The sequence below is a fragment of the Homo sapiens genome, chromosome 3, assembly GCF_000001405.40.
Source record: "Homo sapiens chromosome 3, GRCh38.p14 Primary Assembly".
NCBI lineage: Eukaryota > Metazoa > Chordata > Mammalia > Primates > Hominidae > Homo > Homo sapiens.
In genome coordinates, this window is record NC_000003.12 from 136,594,724 (window position 1) to 136,611,320 (window position 16,597).

The 16,597-nt window shown below is 39.5% G+C and overlaps 1 protein-coding gene and 1 pseudogene across 6 annotated transcripts in view; one reads left to right on the forward strand and one right to left on the reverse strand.

Annotated features, from left to right (window-relative positions):
* Positions 1-16,597, reverse strand: part of STAG1 (STAG1 cohesin complex component) — a 416,143-nt gene that overhangs the window by 258,488 nt on the left and 141,058 nt on the right. For 4 of the 6 annotated variants that reach the window (XR_001739978.2, NM_005862.3, XM_047447229.1 and 1 more), the window contains one exon: positions 9,586-9,750. Coding sequence is in view for 3 of the 6 variants with exons in the window: in NM_005862.3 (NP_005853.2) it covers positions 9,586-9,750 (165 nt within the window). In the remaining 3 variants the exon portion in view is untranslated. Of the gene's footprint in view, positions 1-9,585; positions 9,751-16,597 lie in introns of those variants that run through there. The other 2 variants (XM_047447231.1, XM_047447230.1) reach the window with 2 other exon arrangements.
* HMGN1P10 (high mobility group nucleosome binding domain 1 pseudogene 10) lies at positions 14,327-14,879 on the forward strand (annotated as a pseudogene).

Here is a 16,597-nt window from a genome sequence, read left to right on the forward strand (position 1 = left end):
GCGCCTAACCCAATTAGCTTGGAATTTTTGTTGAATGAATAAACGACAGTCCGACTTTTTTTTTGAGACAGAGTCTCACTCCCGTTGCCCAGGCTGGAGTGCAATGGCACAATCACAGCTCACTGCAGCCTTGACTTCCCGGGCTCAGGTGATTTTCCCAACTCAGCCTCCTGAGTAGCTGGGACTACAGACACATGCCACCACACCTGGCTACTTTTTGTATTTTGGTTGAGATGGGGTTTTGCCATGTTGCCCAGGCTAGTCTCGAACTCCTGGCTCAAGAGATCTGCCTGCTTCAGCCTCCCAAAGTACTGGGCTTACAGGACTGAGCCATCATGTCCAGCCCTATAGTCCAACTTTTATAGTTGATATCTAGGTGTACAAAATGAAAATGCCAATGGATTACAGAAATTAACAAGCTCTTACTCATAACTACTAAAGCAAAAAATATCACTTAGACTACACAGCTTGAAAGTTCCAAAATTCAACATGTATTTAATGTCACAGATCTAAAAGTCAGGATGTCCAAACTACTCTCATAGCCATCCTCCAATACCTATATTCACACAAACTTTCAGTGAACGCTACCAAGTCAAACAACTAGGGACCACCTTAGATTACTTCCTCTTTCTCATCTTTCCTAATCATTCCAGAGCCTGAATATTTGCACAATCTGTCACTTCCTCTCCATTCTCACTGACCTTCTATAAATTTGAACTTTCTACTTTGGGAGGCTGAGGCAGGTGGATCACGAGGTCAGGAGATTGAGACCATCCTGGCTAACACGGTAAAACCCTGTCTCTACTGAAAATACAAAACTGCGGGCGCCTGCAGTCCCAGCTGCTCAGGAGGCTGAGGCAGAAGAATGGCATGAATCCGGGAGGTGGAGCTTGTAGTGAGCCGAGACCGCACCACTGCACTCCAGCCTGGGCGACAGAGCAAGACTCCATCTCAATAAATAAATAAATAAATAAATAAATAAATAAATAAATAAATAAATAAATAAGAACTTTCTTTAGTTCCCTAATGGATCAGTGTTTAAAAAAAAAAAGCCTTTGGTCTGATTCCAGCCTTACCTGCCCACCAAATCATCATCTAAATTGCTCCCAGAAAGGCATTTCTAAAAATGAAAATACAAACAAGTAATTTTCTTTCTAAAATACCATCAATTTTACAAAAAGTATTCAATGGTCAGAATGTAGTTTCTCTCAGCTCCATTTTTACAAGGGCATCTACTGTCCTCTATGGTCGGATAACAGATTTTATCTTTGCATTTCCTGTTTCTAAATTAAGAAACGTCTTCTGCTACTGCCTACTAAACTCCTACTCCTGGTGAAGATGCTGTGAACACTGTTGAAATGGCAACAAAGGATTCTGAATATTACATAAATTTATATGATAAAGCAGTGACAGGGTTTGAGAGGACTTCCTCCAATTTTGAAATAGTTCTGTGGTAAAATGCTATCAAACAGCATTGCATGCTACAGAGAAATCTTTCATGAAAGGAAGAGTCAACTGATGCAGAAACTTCATTGTTGTCTTGTTTTAGGAAACTACCACAGCCACTTGATCAGTCGGCAGCTATCAACATCAAGGCAAGACTTTCCACTAGCAAAAAGATTATGACTCACTGAAGGTTCAGATGTTCATTAGCGTTTTTAATAGTATTTTTAATTAAGGTACGTACATTGGTTTTTTTTCAGACATAATAATATTGCACACACAATACACTATAGGGTAAATATAACTTTTATATGTACTAGGAAGCCAAAAAGTTTGTATGACTCACTGGAACCAAACCCACAATATCTCTGAGGTATACCTATATATCATATAAACCTTTGTGGTCCTATCCTTTTTCTCCTATCTTTTCAGAAAGTAATCAATATAAAAAACATGATGTTAAATAACCTTAAGTATATTTTCACACTTTATAAGTACTGTAGCATCATGTGTTATGCATCATTCTGCAATTTGCATTGGACCTTTAAAATCCATTTTTAAAATTTATTCGTACTGGTACCTAGAATTCTAGTTTACTCATTTTAAATGCAGTAAATAATTTCAGGCCAGGCATGGGGGCTCACATCTGTAGTCCCAGCACCTTGGGAGGCCAAGGCAGGCAGACTGCTTGAGGCCAGGAGTTCAAGACCAGCTTGGCCAACATAGGGAAACCTTGTCTCTACTAAAAATACAAAAAATTTAGCCAGGCGTACTGGCGCATGCCTGTAATCCCAGCTACTTAGGAGGCTGAGGCACAAGAATCACTTGAACCTGGGAGGCAGTGGTTACAGTGTGCTGGGACCATGTCACTGGCACCCCAATCTGCGCGACAGAGCGAGACTGTATCTTAAAAAAAAATTTTTTTTCAGAGTTTAAATATACCACAGTTTATCAATTATCCTGTTTATTATAGAAATTTGGGATTTTTATTTTTTTGTTAGTATAAACAAAGCAATGAAAAAAATATTCATTCCTATATATGCCTTTTATAAACATGTAAAAAAACTGTATCCAGAGGTTATATCTAAGAATTGAATTGGTTTTCTTTAATGTTATATTCTTAGTAAAGAAAAGAAAGAAGGGAAAAAGTGGTTTCCACAGTGTAAACACTCATTAAATATTTACTGCCTGAATGAAAACTCTTCTTGATATTACCAAAATAGTCTCCAAAGGAGAATCTGTACACAGATCTGTACTCCCACTAGTTGCTGTTCTACAACCTTACTGACTATTGGTATGGTCAGGTCTTTTTAATTACTCAATATGATGGGTTTTTAAAATAGTAGTTTATTCTGTTCCACCCAAATTTTTTATTAGATTTTTATTTTGTACTTCATTGATTTTACTTCTATCTTGAATATGCTCGTTTCTGATTACTTGTTCTAATTGGTTATTAATGCCATACAGAAAAGGCTACTGATTTTTTAAACTTTCTATCCAGGAACGTTGCTGAATGCTCTCATTAGTTCTAACAGTCTACGGTTTCTCTTGAAATTTCAACACAATTATATCCTCTTCCAATAGGGATACTTTTGCATCTTCATCTTCAATTGCTATAGCTCTTCTTTTTTTTTTTTAATGTATTGGCTAGGTGTTCCAGTACTGAACAGCAGTAATAATGCTTATATCCTGGGAATACACCTAAACTTCACCGTTATTTAAAAATGACATAATCTGAGCTGTAGGTTTGGGGGAGATAACCTTTACAAGCTAAGGAAGTTCCCTCTTGTTCCTAATTATCAAAAGTTTCTGTTTATAAAAACTATTAGCTATATATTATCACATAATTTTTCTAAACATCCTACATCACTTCAGGTAAGTATAGGCTTTTTTCTCCTGTAATGAGATTATCTGGACATTATACTAAAAGATTTTCTAATATTAAACCATCTCGGTATTCCTAAGATAAAACCTTCTGGTCCTAAAGTTTTCTTAGACTCAAATATTTGGGTTTAGTTGACCTTCTTTAACCTTTCTATTTAACTTCCATTTCTACTTTTATTATTCCTTTCTTCACAGTAATGTTAGGTTTGCTGTTTTTCTTTTTTCTAGTTTCTTTTGCTTTTGCTTAGCATTAATGCCCTTAAGATAACACATCTATCCAAGTAATGCTTTAGCTGGCTCCAACATTTTCACTAACATTTCTTTCACTAATATTCACATTACAACTCTGTATATCTCCTCTTTAATACAACCTTTTTTTTTTTTCTTTTTTTTTGAGACGGAGTCTCGCTCTGTTGCCCAGGCTGGAGTGCAATGGCGCAATCTCGGCTCACTGCAAGCTCCACCTCCCGGGTTCACGCCATTCTCCTGCCTCAGCCTCCCAAGTAGCTGGGACTATAGGCGCCCGCCACCACGCCCGGCTAATTTTTTGTATTTTTAGTAGAGACGGGGTTTCACTGTGTTACCCAGGATGGTTTCGATCTCCTGACCTTGTGATCTGCCCACCTCGGCCTCCCCAAAGTACTGGGATTACAGGCGTGAGCCACCGCGCCCGGCCAATACAAACTTTTAAAAAGCACCTTTTTATTCTCCTGGTAAATTTTATAATGCAATTTACCAGGAGAATTTATTTTACTGTGTATTTCAACATTAACTGCATTATAAAGAAAACGATCAGACATTCCTTGATGAAATCTTTCAAAATTTCCTTAATACTTCAGTTATACTATACTATTTACAGCTATGAAATTACTTTCACTTATCTTGCTCACTCCTGAGAACAAACTTTGGATCAAAGGAAATTTGTCTGGAAATTTCTCCAAAATTATCTCTTCAAAAATTGTATCTAAGACCGTGATTCCTCAAAGAACTAAAGGCAGAAATACCACTTGACCCAGCAATCCCATTAACAGGTATATACCCAAAGGAATGTAAATCATTCTATTATAAACATACATGCATGTGTATGTTCATTGCAGCACTATTCATAATAGGAAAGACATAAAATCAACCCAAATGCCCAACAATAATAGACTAGAAAATGTGGTATACATGCAGCCATTAAAAGGAAAGAGATTGGGCTAGGTGTGCTGGCTCAATCTTGTAATTCCAGCACTTTAGAAGGCTGAGGTAGGAGGATCACTTGAGTCCAGGAGTTCAAGACCAGCCTAGGGTAACATGGCAAAACCCTGTATCTACTAAAAATAAAAAAATTAGCCGAGCATGGTGACATGTGCCTGTAGTCCCAGCTACTTGGGAGGCTGAAGCAGGAGAGTGGTGTGAGCCCAGGAGACGGAGCCTGCAGTGAGCCGAGATTGCGCCACTGCACTCCAGCCTGGGTGACAGAGCGAGACTCTGTCTCAAAAATAAATAAAATAAAATAAAATAAATCCTTCATCTCTTTTCTTCCCTCTGATCTCTTCCCTTGGTATATTCTGGAACCCTTCAATCCATACCAAAGTCTTTAAATGGCTCTTTCATGTTTTCTTACCTCCTTATTTCTCTGGGCTACATTCTAACTGAGTCCAATAAATGCCAATACTTGAATTCTCCCTCTCATGGCACCTAAAGCAGTATTTTTCCTCAGTAACATAATGTACTGTTTTAAGAATTTACTTTCAATTTTCGAGACTGCTCCTGTTCCATATCTTGTTTCATCTTCCTTATTTTGTATAAGACAGAATTTCTTCTTTCATCCCTCTAGCATCTTCAACATACATATTCATTATTTTATTATTTATCCCTCCCCTCTTATGTTTCTGTCATTACCTCCATGGCAGAACCAGATCATATAAAAGACAAGAGTGGGAATTTTCAGACTCTTTCCTAAAACAACATTGGGAATTTTCACAGACCCAGTCACCAACCAAATGAACAGACATTTCAATTCAGGTGTCAGTTATAAGAATTATGTCCATCTTCTCCCTTTCCTCAGCTTTTGATTTCCTGTAAGTGATGTTTTAATAAAAATAGCCATGCAAACTACTACCCTTCTGAATATTAAAGGAGCCTCTATTAATAAATACATGGACAATAAGCACAAACTGGACATCTCAAGGGTAACTTGAGATACACGATTACCCTAAACATAAGCCTATGCAGTAGTTATTGGCACTTTCCTTCAGCCTGCTTTACAAATGGGGAGACTCACATTAGGCCTTGGCTTCATGTAATAAGCCCGATTCGATTCTCCTATTCTTCATGAAGCACTTTAACACTCAACAACCAAACTCCTGGCTATAAAGCATATGCTTTTCTGCCCTAAACCCAATCCTGTTCATCACTTTGTAGTTTTCTTCCATACAAACCACAGAAATACCTACTTTGTTTCTAAATCACTGATGTCGGCTTGTATTATCTTGCTCTTTATTTTTTATTTTTGAGACGGAGTCTCGCTCTGTCACCCAGGCTGGCGTGTAGTGGCACAATCTTGGCTCAATGCAACCTCTACCTCCCGGGTTCAAGCAATTCTCCTGCCTCAGCCTCCTGAGTAGCTGGGATTACAGGCTTGCGCAACCATGCCCAGCTAATTTTTTTTTTATTTTTAGTAGAGATGGGATTTTACCATATTGGCCAGGGTGGTCTCAAACTCCTGACCTTCTGATCTGCCCGCCTGGGCCTCCCAAAATGCTGGGATTACAGGCGTGAGCAACCACGCACAGCTGTGCTCTTTATTTTTTCTTGTTGTTGTTTGTTTGTTTGTTTTGTTTTGTTTTGTTTTGTTTTGTTTTGTTTTGTTTGAGAAGAAGTCTTCCTCTGTCGCCAAGGCTGGAGTGCAGTGGCGCAATCTTGGCTCACTGCGACCTCCGCCTCCTGGGTTCAAGCAGCTCTCCTTGAAATTAGCACCACATCCAGCTAATTTTTGTATTTTTAGTAGAGACAGGGTTTCACCATGTTGGCCAGACTGGTCTCAAACTCCTGACCTCAACTGATCCACCCGCCTCAGCCTCCCAAGGTGCTGAGATTACAGGCATGAGCCACCACACCCAGCCTAAAGAAGTACTATTTTTAATACAATAAAACTGGAAACAGTTCAAATAAAATCTAGTTAAATAAACCATGACCCAACTATTTTAGGAAGTACTGCCAAAATAATAAAAATCAGAAGGTAAATTCATAGAAAAAAATGTGCCCAAAAGACTGCCACATAAAAAAATTACAAACGTTTATAAATTTTAAATATAGCCAGTAAAAAATATTAATAATTAAAATTACAGTAAAAATAACATGAAGCAGATTTCAAGAGAGAAACAGTAAGAAGAAGTTGAAAGGTGGGTTAACACCAAATTATGGAAGGTACCAGAGTCCTGACTACTGATCATTATCTTTCAGAAAATAAGAAACAAAAAGTTTCAGCCGAAGACAGCTGGGTGTGGTGGCTCATGCCTGTAATCCCAGCACTTTGGGAGGGTGAGGCGGGCAGACCACTTGAGGTCAGGAGTTTGAGAGCAGCCTGGCCAACACGGTGAAAGCCTATCTCTACTAAAAATACAAAACAAACAAACAAACAAACAAAAAATTAGCTAGACGTGGTGGCAGGCACCTGTAACCCCAGCTACTCGGGAGGTTGAGGCAGGAGAATCGCTTGAACCTGTGGGGCAGAAGTTGCAGTGAGCTGAGATCGTCCACTGTACTTCAGCCTGGCTAATAGAGAGAGGCTCATTCTCCAAAAAAAAAAAGTTTCAGCAGAAAAGACACAGCATAAGAGTATAATTAGAAAAGAGTAATATGGATGAAGAGAAGAATACCATGAATTAAAACTGAAAACACTTCTATTGGTCAATGTTTTATTTCAAATATAGATGATGATAAGAGTTTGTTAATATTAAAAATAAGGACTGGCATTAAGCTTTAATACAATATGCATGAAAATTATTTTTACATAAATATCTCATAAAATAAAGGCTTACATTTAAAGAAAAGGAAGTAAGGCCGGGCACAGTGGCTCACGTCTATAATCCCAGCACTTTGGGAGGCCGAGGTGGGCGGATCACGAGGTCAGGAGATCGAGACCGTCCTGGCCAACATGGTAAAGCCCCGTCTCTACTAAAAATACAAAAATTAGCTGGGCATGGTGGTGTGTGCCTGTAGTCCCAGCTACTTGGGAAGTTGAGGCAGAAGAATTGCTTGAACCTGGGAGGCGGAGGTTGCAGCGAGCCGGGATCACGCCACTGCACTCCAGCCTGGCGACAGAGAGACACTCCATCTCAAACAAAAAAAAAAAAAAAGAGAGAGAGAGAAGAAAAATATCTGAAATGCAATTATCAAAATTTTACATAAAAATACATTTCTGTCATTTTTCTGCTTGTATTTCTACCTAAAGGTGGGAAGCAATAGAAAAGGTCTTTAAAATTAATGCTTCCGTAGCTTGTTAACAATTCTTCTATTAAAGTATAATGAGGCCGGGCATGGTGACTCATGCCTGTAATCCCAGCACTTTGGAAGGCAGAGGTGGGTGCATCACTTGAGGTCAGGAGTTTCAGACCAGCCTGGCCAATATGGTGAAACTCCATCTCTACTAAAAATACAAAAATTAGCTGGGCGTGCTGGCACACACCTGTAATCCCAGCTATTCAGGAGGCTGAGGCACAAGAATCCCTTGAACCCGGGAGGTGGAGGTTGCAGTGAGCCACTGCACTCCAACCTGGGCAATGGAGCAAGACTCTGTCTCAGAAACAAAAGTATAATGAATAAATTATCAAGCTTAATGGCAAAAGGTCACAAATCTATTTTTATATTAAACTTATATAATTTAAATATTGTCATCCATTGCTTTGGGTAACTGGAAATTCAATACATGTTTCACCATTTAGCATCATCCCACTAATCCACCTCCTTCCCTGCCCACACAAATTCCAGGACTCTTGAACACAACACGTCAATCTGGTAACATACATAAAAAGAAAGAAACACTAAACACCCTTAAGGGCTTCAAAAAGAAATACAGGTAAAAAATATAATAGAAAGTATACTAATGAAAAGTTGTCTGTTTTAGTTCTAATAGTAATTCCGTTTCACAATTACCTAATTTTTTTTTTTTTGAGATAGAGTCTGGCTCTGTACCCCAGGCTGGAGTGCAGTGGCACAATCTCGGCTCACTGCAACCTCCACCTCCTGGGTTCAAGCAATTCTCCTGTACACTTCTCGTGAAAGGTGAAATAGTACAATTTATGGGAGAGAAATACAGTATTTATATATTTCACAATTTAAAAATATCCTTTAGCCAAATAATTCCACCTCTAGCATTTTAAAATGTTAAAAATGTAGAGACGAACATAAATAATAAACACATTTAATGATAGTGATAAAAATATACACACTAAAGAAAAATAATTATGGCTTATCCTTACAATGCATTAGTGAGAATGGTGCTCCTGCAGAATACTTAGTATTTATGGACTAAATGAGAAGAGATAAAAGAGTAAGAAAGTTATGGCCGGGCGCGGTGGCTCACGCCTGTAATCCCAGTACTTTGGGAGGCCGAGGCAGGTGGATCACGAGGTCAGCAGATCGAGATCATCCTGGGTAACACGGTGAAACCCCATCTCTACTAAAAAACATACAAAAAATTAGCCGGGCATGGTGGCAGGCACCTGTAGTCCCAGCTACTCGGGAGGCTGAGGCAGGGGAATGGCGTGAACCCGGGAGGCAGAGCTTGAAGTGAGCCAAGATCGTGCCACTGCACTCCAGCCTGGGCAACAGAGCCAGACTCTGTCTCAAAAAAAAAGAAAGAAAGAAAGAAAGAAAGTTACAAATGATGTAGTTCTGGTTATTCCTAATTCACTACTTAAGAATTCTTTTTTTATATCCCTTCTTCTTTCAAATACTCTGAAAGACACATGTGTTACTTACACTAAATCAGATTCAAAAAAAAAATATCAAGACAATAAAAATTCTCTTGGGCAGCTTCTAGTAGACCTTTTTACTTAGAACAATTTAAACAAAAGTACATCTTACGATTAAACAGCCATTCCTGACACTCTTTGCAAAACAAAGCAAAATAATAACCTTTCAGGATAAACTGAAAGGTTGCTTACATAATCAACAGAAGTATATAAAGTGCCAATATACACACTAACTGATTCCACCCAAGTTATTAACTGTATTGCTTTATACGTGAAATAAAAACTTAAAATTTACCTGCATTGCACTTTTCCCCAGTTTCACCACCTCAAATAATGTGACAGGCTCCCCTTCCCCATTCTGTTGAGGGTGTCCATTAGCTCTTCCACGGCCTGCTCCTCTAATTCCAGCTTCAATTCTGCTCTTCTCACCTGGAGATTTTCGAGGTTTCTTATTTGTAGACTGAAAAAAAGATAAAAAAAGATTCCATTCGATTAGGTTTACTTTGCTTTATATAAAATGATCACTACTATAGAAGAAATATAATCCCTAACCAAAAGAAACTTTAAAATTTCTTCTCAGTAATTCAAAAAAGTGCAAAGAGCAAAACATAAGTTTATACATAAAAGGTATGAAGGTAACTTTCTTTTGTTTTTTGAGACAGAGTCTTGCTCTGTCGCCCAGGATGGAGTGCAGTGGCACTCTCTTAGCTCACTGCAGCATCCTCCTCCCAGGTTCAAGTGATTCTCCTGCCTCAGCCTCCCGAGTAGCTGAGATTACAGACCCCACCACCACGACCAGTTAATTTTTGTATTTTCAATAGAGACGGAGTTTCACCATGTTGGCCAGGCTGGTCTCGTACTCCTGACCTCAAATGATTCGCCCACCTTGGCCTTCAAAAATGCTGGAATTAACAGCATGAGCCACCACACCTAGATGATGTTTTAAAAATTGCTTTAGTGTTTTGTACAATAATAATGCCAATGTTGAATATTTTAACCTTGCCCCTTCTTGACATTTCCTTCTGCATACATTCATTGATACTCTCCTACTTCCTCAGAAATCTTGTACAGAAAACATTTCTGGGAAATGCCATATATTCAACTTCTACCCCTACTGAAATGCTCAAGTATTTCTTAGTCATGCAACAAATATGCTGAACGTATCTGGAACTATTTCAGGTACTGGCAATACAGCAATAAACAAAACAGACAAACATTCTTGCCCTGATGGAGTTTACATTCTTTAATTAACATACCATCCCCTCCCCCCAACTTTATTTTAAAAAGTTAATACTTGCTATAATCTTATCTCTATCTCACCTTTAGGGCCAAGGATCATTTGAAAAAATTGTTGGCAGTCACTGTATCTATTCCTGTTAATTTCATTCATTCATACATTCATTCATTCACATACAAACTCATTCTACAGTTGCTACTTCACCAAACTCACCAGTGACACCAACGTTGCTAAATGCAATAGACATTTCTTGAAACTCTCTTAACAGACAAGACTTTTTTCCTTTCCTTTCAGTTATCTTTCCCCTCCCTGTATTTCTTACCTGCTAGTATTACCTAGAGGTCTCCCCTAAGTATCTTTTCTTCTCAGTCCTTATGCTCTCTATTGAGTAATTTAATTCATTCCCATTATATGCCTGCTTCACTTACCAATTTATGGTCTCTCATCTCCAATGAGATAAGTGTCTCCAATGAGAGACAATAAATTGAAATAAATTTGCCCTGCTTTTTGACACTGAAGCTGGACCCTGTAAACATTTATCTTTTGCCATCTGCTGCAGTATTAGGCTTTGTAAAAGGAAGGTACTAGAGGAACACTACAAGGCATAGCTTGGAGGGGCTTCTTTTCCTTATTATAGTACCTGCTCCCTGCATTTGCTTTTACTGTGTTTCTGACAGTATAGTCCTCTTTTCACTTCTGTTAGTAGTTAATGGCCCTCTAACCATTTCTGTGTGTGGATTAATATATAGAGTTCATTGCTTAATTTTTAAATAAACTTTTTTTAGAACTTTCAGATTTACAAAAAAAAAAGTTATGAAGATAGTACAGAAAATTCCTAAATACATATAGTTACTCCTATAATTAACATCTTACATTAGTATGGTACATTTGTTACAATAAACCAATACTGATACACTAACAAAAGCCCATACTTTCTTTGAATTTTTTTTTTTTTTGAGAGGGAGTCTCACTCTGTTGCCCAGGCTGGAGTGCAGTGACACAATCTCGACTCACTGCAACCTCCGCCTCCCAAGTTCAAGTGATTCTCCTGCCTCAGCCTCTAGAGTAGCTATGATCATAGGCGCCTGTCATCACGCCCAGCTCATTTTTGTACTTTTAGTACAGACAAGGTTTCGCCATGTTGGCCATGCTGGTCTTGAACTCCTGACCTCAAGTGATCCACCCACCTCACCTCCCAAAGTGCCACAATGACAGGCATCAGCCACCACGAGCGGCCTGATTTTTCTTACTTCTTGCCTAATGACCTTTTGGTCTAGGAGTCCATCCAGGATACAATATTACATTCAATCATCATGTCTTCCTAAGCTCCTTTTGGCTGTGACAGTTTCTCAGATTCTCCTGGTTTTTGATGACCATAGGAGTTTTGAGAAATATTGATCAGGCATTTTCTAATAGGTTCCTCACTGGAATTTGTCTGATGTTTTTGTCATAACTAGACAAGGGATTATGGGATTTGAGAAGAAAGGAGAGGTAACATGCTTTTTTTTTTTTTTTTTGGGGACGAAGTTAACTTGTTGCCCAGGCTAACGTGCAATGGCGTGATCTCAGCTCACTACAACCTCCGTCTGCTGGGTTCGAGCAATTCTCCTGCCTCAGCCTCCCGAGTAGCTGAAACTACAGGTGTGTGCCACCACCCCGGCTAACTTTTTTTTGTATTTTTAGTAGAGATGTGGTTTCACTGTGTTAGGCAGGATGGTCTTGATCTCCTGACCTCGTGATCCGCCCACCTCAGACTCCCAAAGTGCTGGGATTACAGGCTTGAGCCACCACGCCCAGCCAGTAACATGCCATTTTTATCACCTCATATCAAGAGTACATACTATCAACATAATTAATCAATGTTGATATTGACCTAAATCACTTGGCTGACATAGTGTTTTGTCAGGTTTCACTTCTGTACTTTTCTTACTCTTTCCATAGTGTACCCTTCAGAACAAAGTCACTATGTATAGCCCACATTTAAGGGGTAGGAAGTTCCACTCCACCTCATTGAGGAAGTATTTACACAAATTATAATTCTCTCACATGGAAGATTTGTCTATTCTCAACCATTTATTTATTCAATCATTTATATCAGTATATACTCATCATTTATTTTATACTTGGGGTTCTAATTCAATACTATTTGTTTTGTTTTGTTTTCTTTTTGGAGACAGATTCTCTCTTTGTTGCTCAGGCTGGAGTGCGGTGGTGCGATCTTTGCTCACTGCAACCTCTGCCTCCTGGGTTCAAGCGATTCTTCTGCCTCAGCCTCCTGAGTAGCTGGGATTACAGGCATGTGCCACCACACCCAACTAATTTTTGTGTTTTTAGTAGAGATGGGGTTTCACCATGTTGGCCAGGCTGGTCTTGAACTCCTGATCTCAAGTGATCCACCCACCTCGGTCTCCCAAAGTGCTAGGATTACAGGCGTGAGCCACCGTGTCCGATGTAATTCAATACTGTTTTACTTTGTTGTTCAAATTGTTTCAGCTTTGGCCAATGGGAGCTCTTTTAGTTGGCTCCCAAGTCCTTATGACATAATCACATCATTCTGTGTGGTTTTTCATTTCTTTTTTAGCACTTGGCTACTTACTGGCACAAGATGCTCCAGGTTCACCCTGTATATTCCTTGCCCCAGTTCTAGAATCAACCAATACAAGAAAGAGACTGGGTTCCTTTTATTGGAAAATGATATCAGAGAGTAAGAACTGCACACTGGTTGGCCGGGCACAATGGCTCACGCCTGTAATCCCAGCACCTTGGGAGGCCAAGGCGGGCAGATCACCTGAGATAAGGAGTTCTAGACCAGCCTGGCCAACATGGCAAAACCCCATCGCTACTAAAAATATAAAAATTATCCAGGCGTGGTGGCACATGCCTGTAATCCCAGCTACTCAGGAGGCTGAGTCGGGAGAATCGCTTGAACCTAGGAGGCAGAGAGGTTGCAGTGAGCTGAAATTGCACCATTGTACTCCAGCCTGGGCAACAGAGCAAGACTCCATCTCAAAAAAAAAAAAAAACTGCACACTGGTAATACCAGCACAGGGGTAGACAAGGTGGGGAGGATGACTTGATCCCAGGAGTTCCAGACCAGCCTGAGCAACATGGCAAAAGCCCATCTCTACAAAGTTAGCTAGGGTAGTAATGTGTGCCTGTAGTCCCAGCTGCTCAGCAGGCTAAAGTGGGATAATCGATTGAGCCGGGGAGGCAGAGTCTGCAGTGAGCCGTGATTATAGCACTGTACTCCTGGATGACAGCGAGACCCTATCTCAAAAACAAAACAACAAAAAGAACTGCACACTGGTAATACCAGCACAGGGGTAGACAAGGTAGGGAGGATGACTTGATCCCAGGAGTTCCAGACCAGCCTGAGCAACATGGCAAAAGCCCATCTCTATAAAGTTAGCTAGGGTAGTAGTGTGTGCCTGTAGTCCCAGCTGCTCAGCAGGCTGAAGTAGGAGAATCGAATGAGCCGGGGAGGTGGAGTCTGCAGTGAGCCGTGATTGTAGCACTGTACTCCTGAATGACAGCGAGACCCTATCTCAAAAAAAAAAAAAAAAAAAAAAGAACTAGACACTATGTTTTGCTCGTTGCTACTAGAGTACCTTTGCTTCTAGGTTCTTATGTGGACAAAACATAAAATACACCTCCCATATGTTACACATAACAAAGTCACTCTTTGAGCGGGTATCAGTAGCTCAGGCAGTTGGAGGAGCGGCCCGGCAGCCCAGCTCACTGAGGCTCTCTGTGCACCATGGCCCACTAGCACCCAGTATGTACTCTCCCCACTGCAATGATGCCCAAGAGGAAAGTCAGCTAAACAGAGGTGGAAGTCAAAGTGAAGAAAGAGTCAAAGAGGAAGACAGGCATGGTTGTCAGCTAAACCTGCTCCTGAAAAGTGGAAATGAAGTCAAAAAAGGCAGCAGGAAAGTACAAACAGGGCCAGGTACAGTGGCTCACACCTGTAATGCCAGCAGAGGTCAGGGCAGGCAGATCGCTTGAGCCCAGGAGTTCAAGACCAGCCTGGGCAACATGGCGAAACCCTGTCTAGACAAAAAATTACAAAAATTAGCTTTCATATATGTGTATATATATTTGTATATATATTTGTATATAAATATATATTTGTATATAAATTTGTATATAAATATTTATAGATACATATATATATATATACACACACACATATATACATGTAAAAGGTATAAAGAAAAGGGAAAAGGGGAGCAAAGAGAAAAGAGGCTGATCAGGCTAACCAAAAAACTATAGATTTACCTGCAGAAAATGGACAAAGCAAAACCAAGAAGAGTCCAGCTTCTGGTGAAGCCGGAGAAAAAGAAGCCAAGTCTGATTAATATCATATACTATTATCAGTGGTCCTTCTATTCTAGTAGAATCCAGAGGAATATTTTTATCAACTATTGTATAAATGCAAGTTTTTTAGTAGATCTAGAAACATTTTTAAGAAGAAGGGAATCCTACCCACATCCCATTTTTAAAGTGTAAATGCTTTTTGTTTTTAAGAGGTGAAATCATTCACTGGTTATCTTTTGGTACAACCAGAAAATAGTGTGGGATACTGAATTGTTGTCGGAGGCTTTGACTGTGTTGGGTGTCAGCTTAACATTCCATAGATGGGGGTTACTTTTCATATCCTAAAAGACAAAGCATATAAAATGGCAACATGGAGTTATAGTCCTGAATTTAAAAAAAAAATTTTGCATTTTAATGTCTTGGATATTTTAAATTATTTCTATTGCATGTTTTTTTATAGCAGAATTTTCTTTTTTTTCTTTTTTTGAGATGGAGTCTCGTCTGTCGCCCAGGCTGGAGTACAGTGGTGCGATCTCAGCTCACTGCAACCTCCACACCTCCCAGGTTCAAGTGATTCTCCTGCCTCAGCCTCCCAAGTAGCTGGGACTACAGGTGCCCGCCACCACTCCCAGCTAATCTTTGTATTCTTAGTAGAGATGGGATTTCACCATATTGGCCAGGCTGGTCTCAAATTCCTGACCTTGTGATCCACCCACCTCAGCCTTCCAAAGTGCTGGGATTACAGGTGTAAGCCACTGTACCTGGCCTTTAGCAGGATTTTCTAAAAACCAACAAACAAACAAATAAAAACTCCTTGATCATGGCTCTCCCTGTCAGAATTGTGTGCACTCTAACATCTTTGGTTGTGGTATTCCTGTTTTCCCAATAACTTTGTTAATGTGCTGTGAAAGACTGAATATTTGAGTATGTTGTGTATATGCTTTTAACTGAATTGGAGAAGTGTATTTAACAGCTTATCAACATGTGAAGATACTGGTACTTGATAGACTCAAGGAAAATTTGCCTCCAAATTTTAAGCTGGAAAGTCACTGGAATAACTTTAAAAAAGAATTACAAACTTTTTTTTTAGATTTTCAGTATGTATGTTAAGAATTGCACACAAACTGAAATGTCTGTGTACTAATCCCCAACACAACCAACAAAATCTCAATTATGAAAGAAAAAAAACACATTTACTCTTTGTTCTGTGAAGTTCTAAGGGTTTTGACAAATGCTTGGTGTTGTGTATGCACAATTAATGGTTATCATGGAGAATAGTTTACTTTAAAAATCCTGTGTATTGCCCATTCAACCCTTTCTCTTCCCCTTCTCAGGAAACCACTAGTTTTTCATTTTTTAATCATCATCATAGTTTCCTTTTTTCCACATATTAATATATGGGTTGAGTACCCCTTATCTGAAATGCTTGGAACAAGAAGTGTGTCAGACTTCCAGTTTTTTCAAATTTTAGAATATTTGCACATACATAATGAAACATCTTGGGGATGGAACTCAAGTCTAAACATGAAACTCGTTTATGTTTCACATATACCTTACACACACAGCCTGAAAGGAATTTTACATAATTTTTTTTTCTTTTAGACACAGTTTCACTCTTGCCGCCCAGGCTGGATTGCAACGGCACAATCTAGGCTCACTGCAACCTCCGCCTCCTGGGTTCGAGCGATTCTCCTGCCTCAGACTCCCAAGTAGCTGGGATTACAAGCATGCGCCACCATGCCCGGCTAATTTT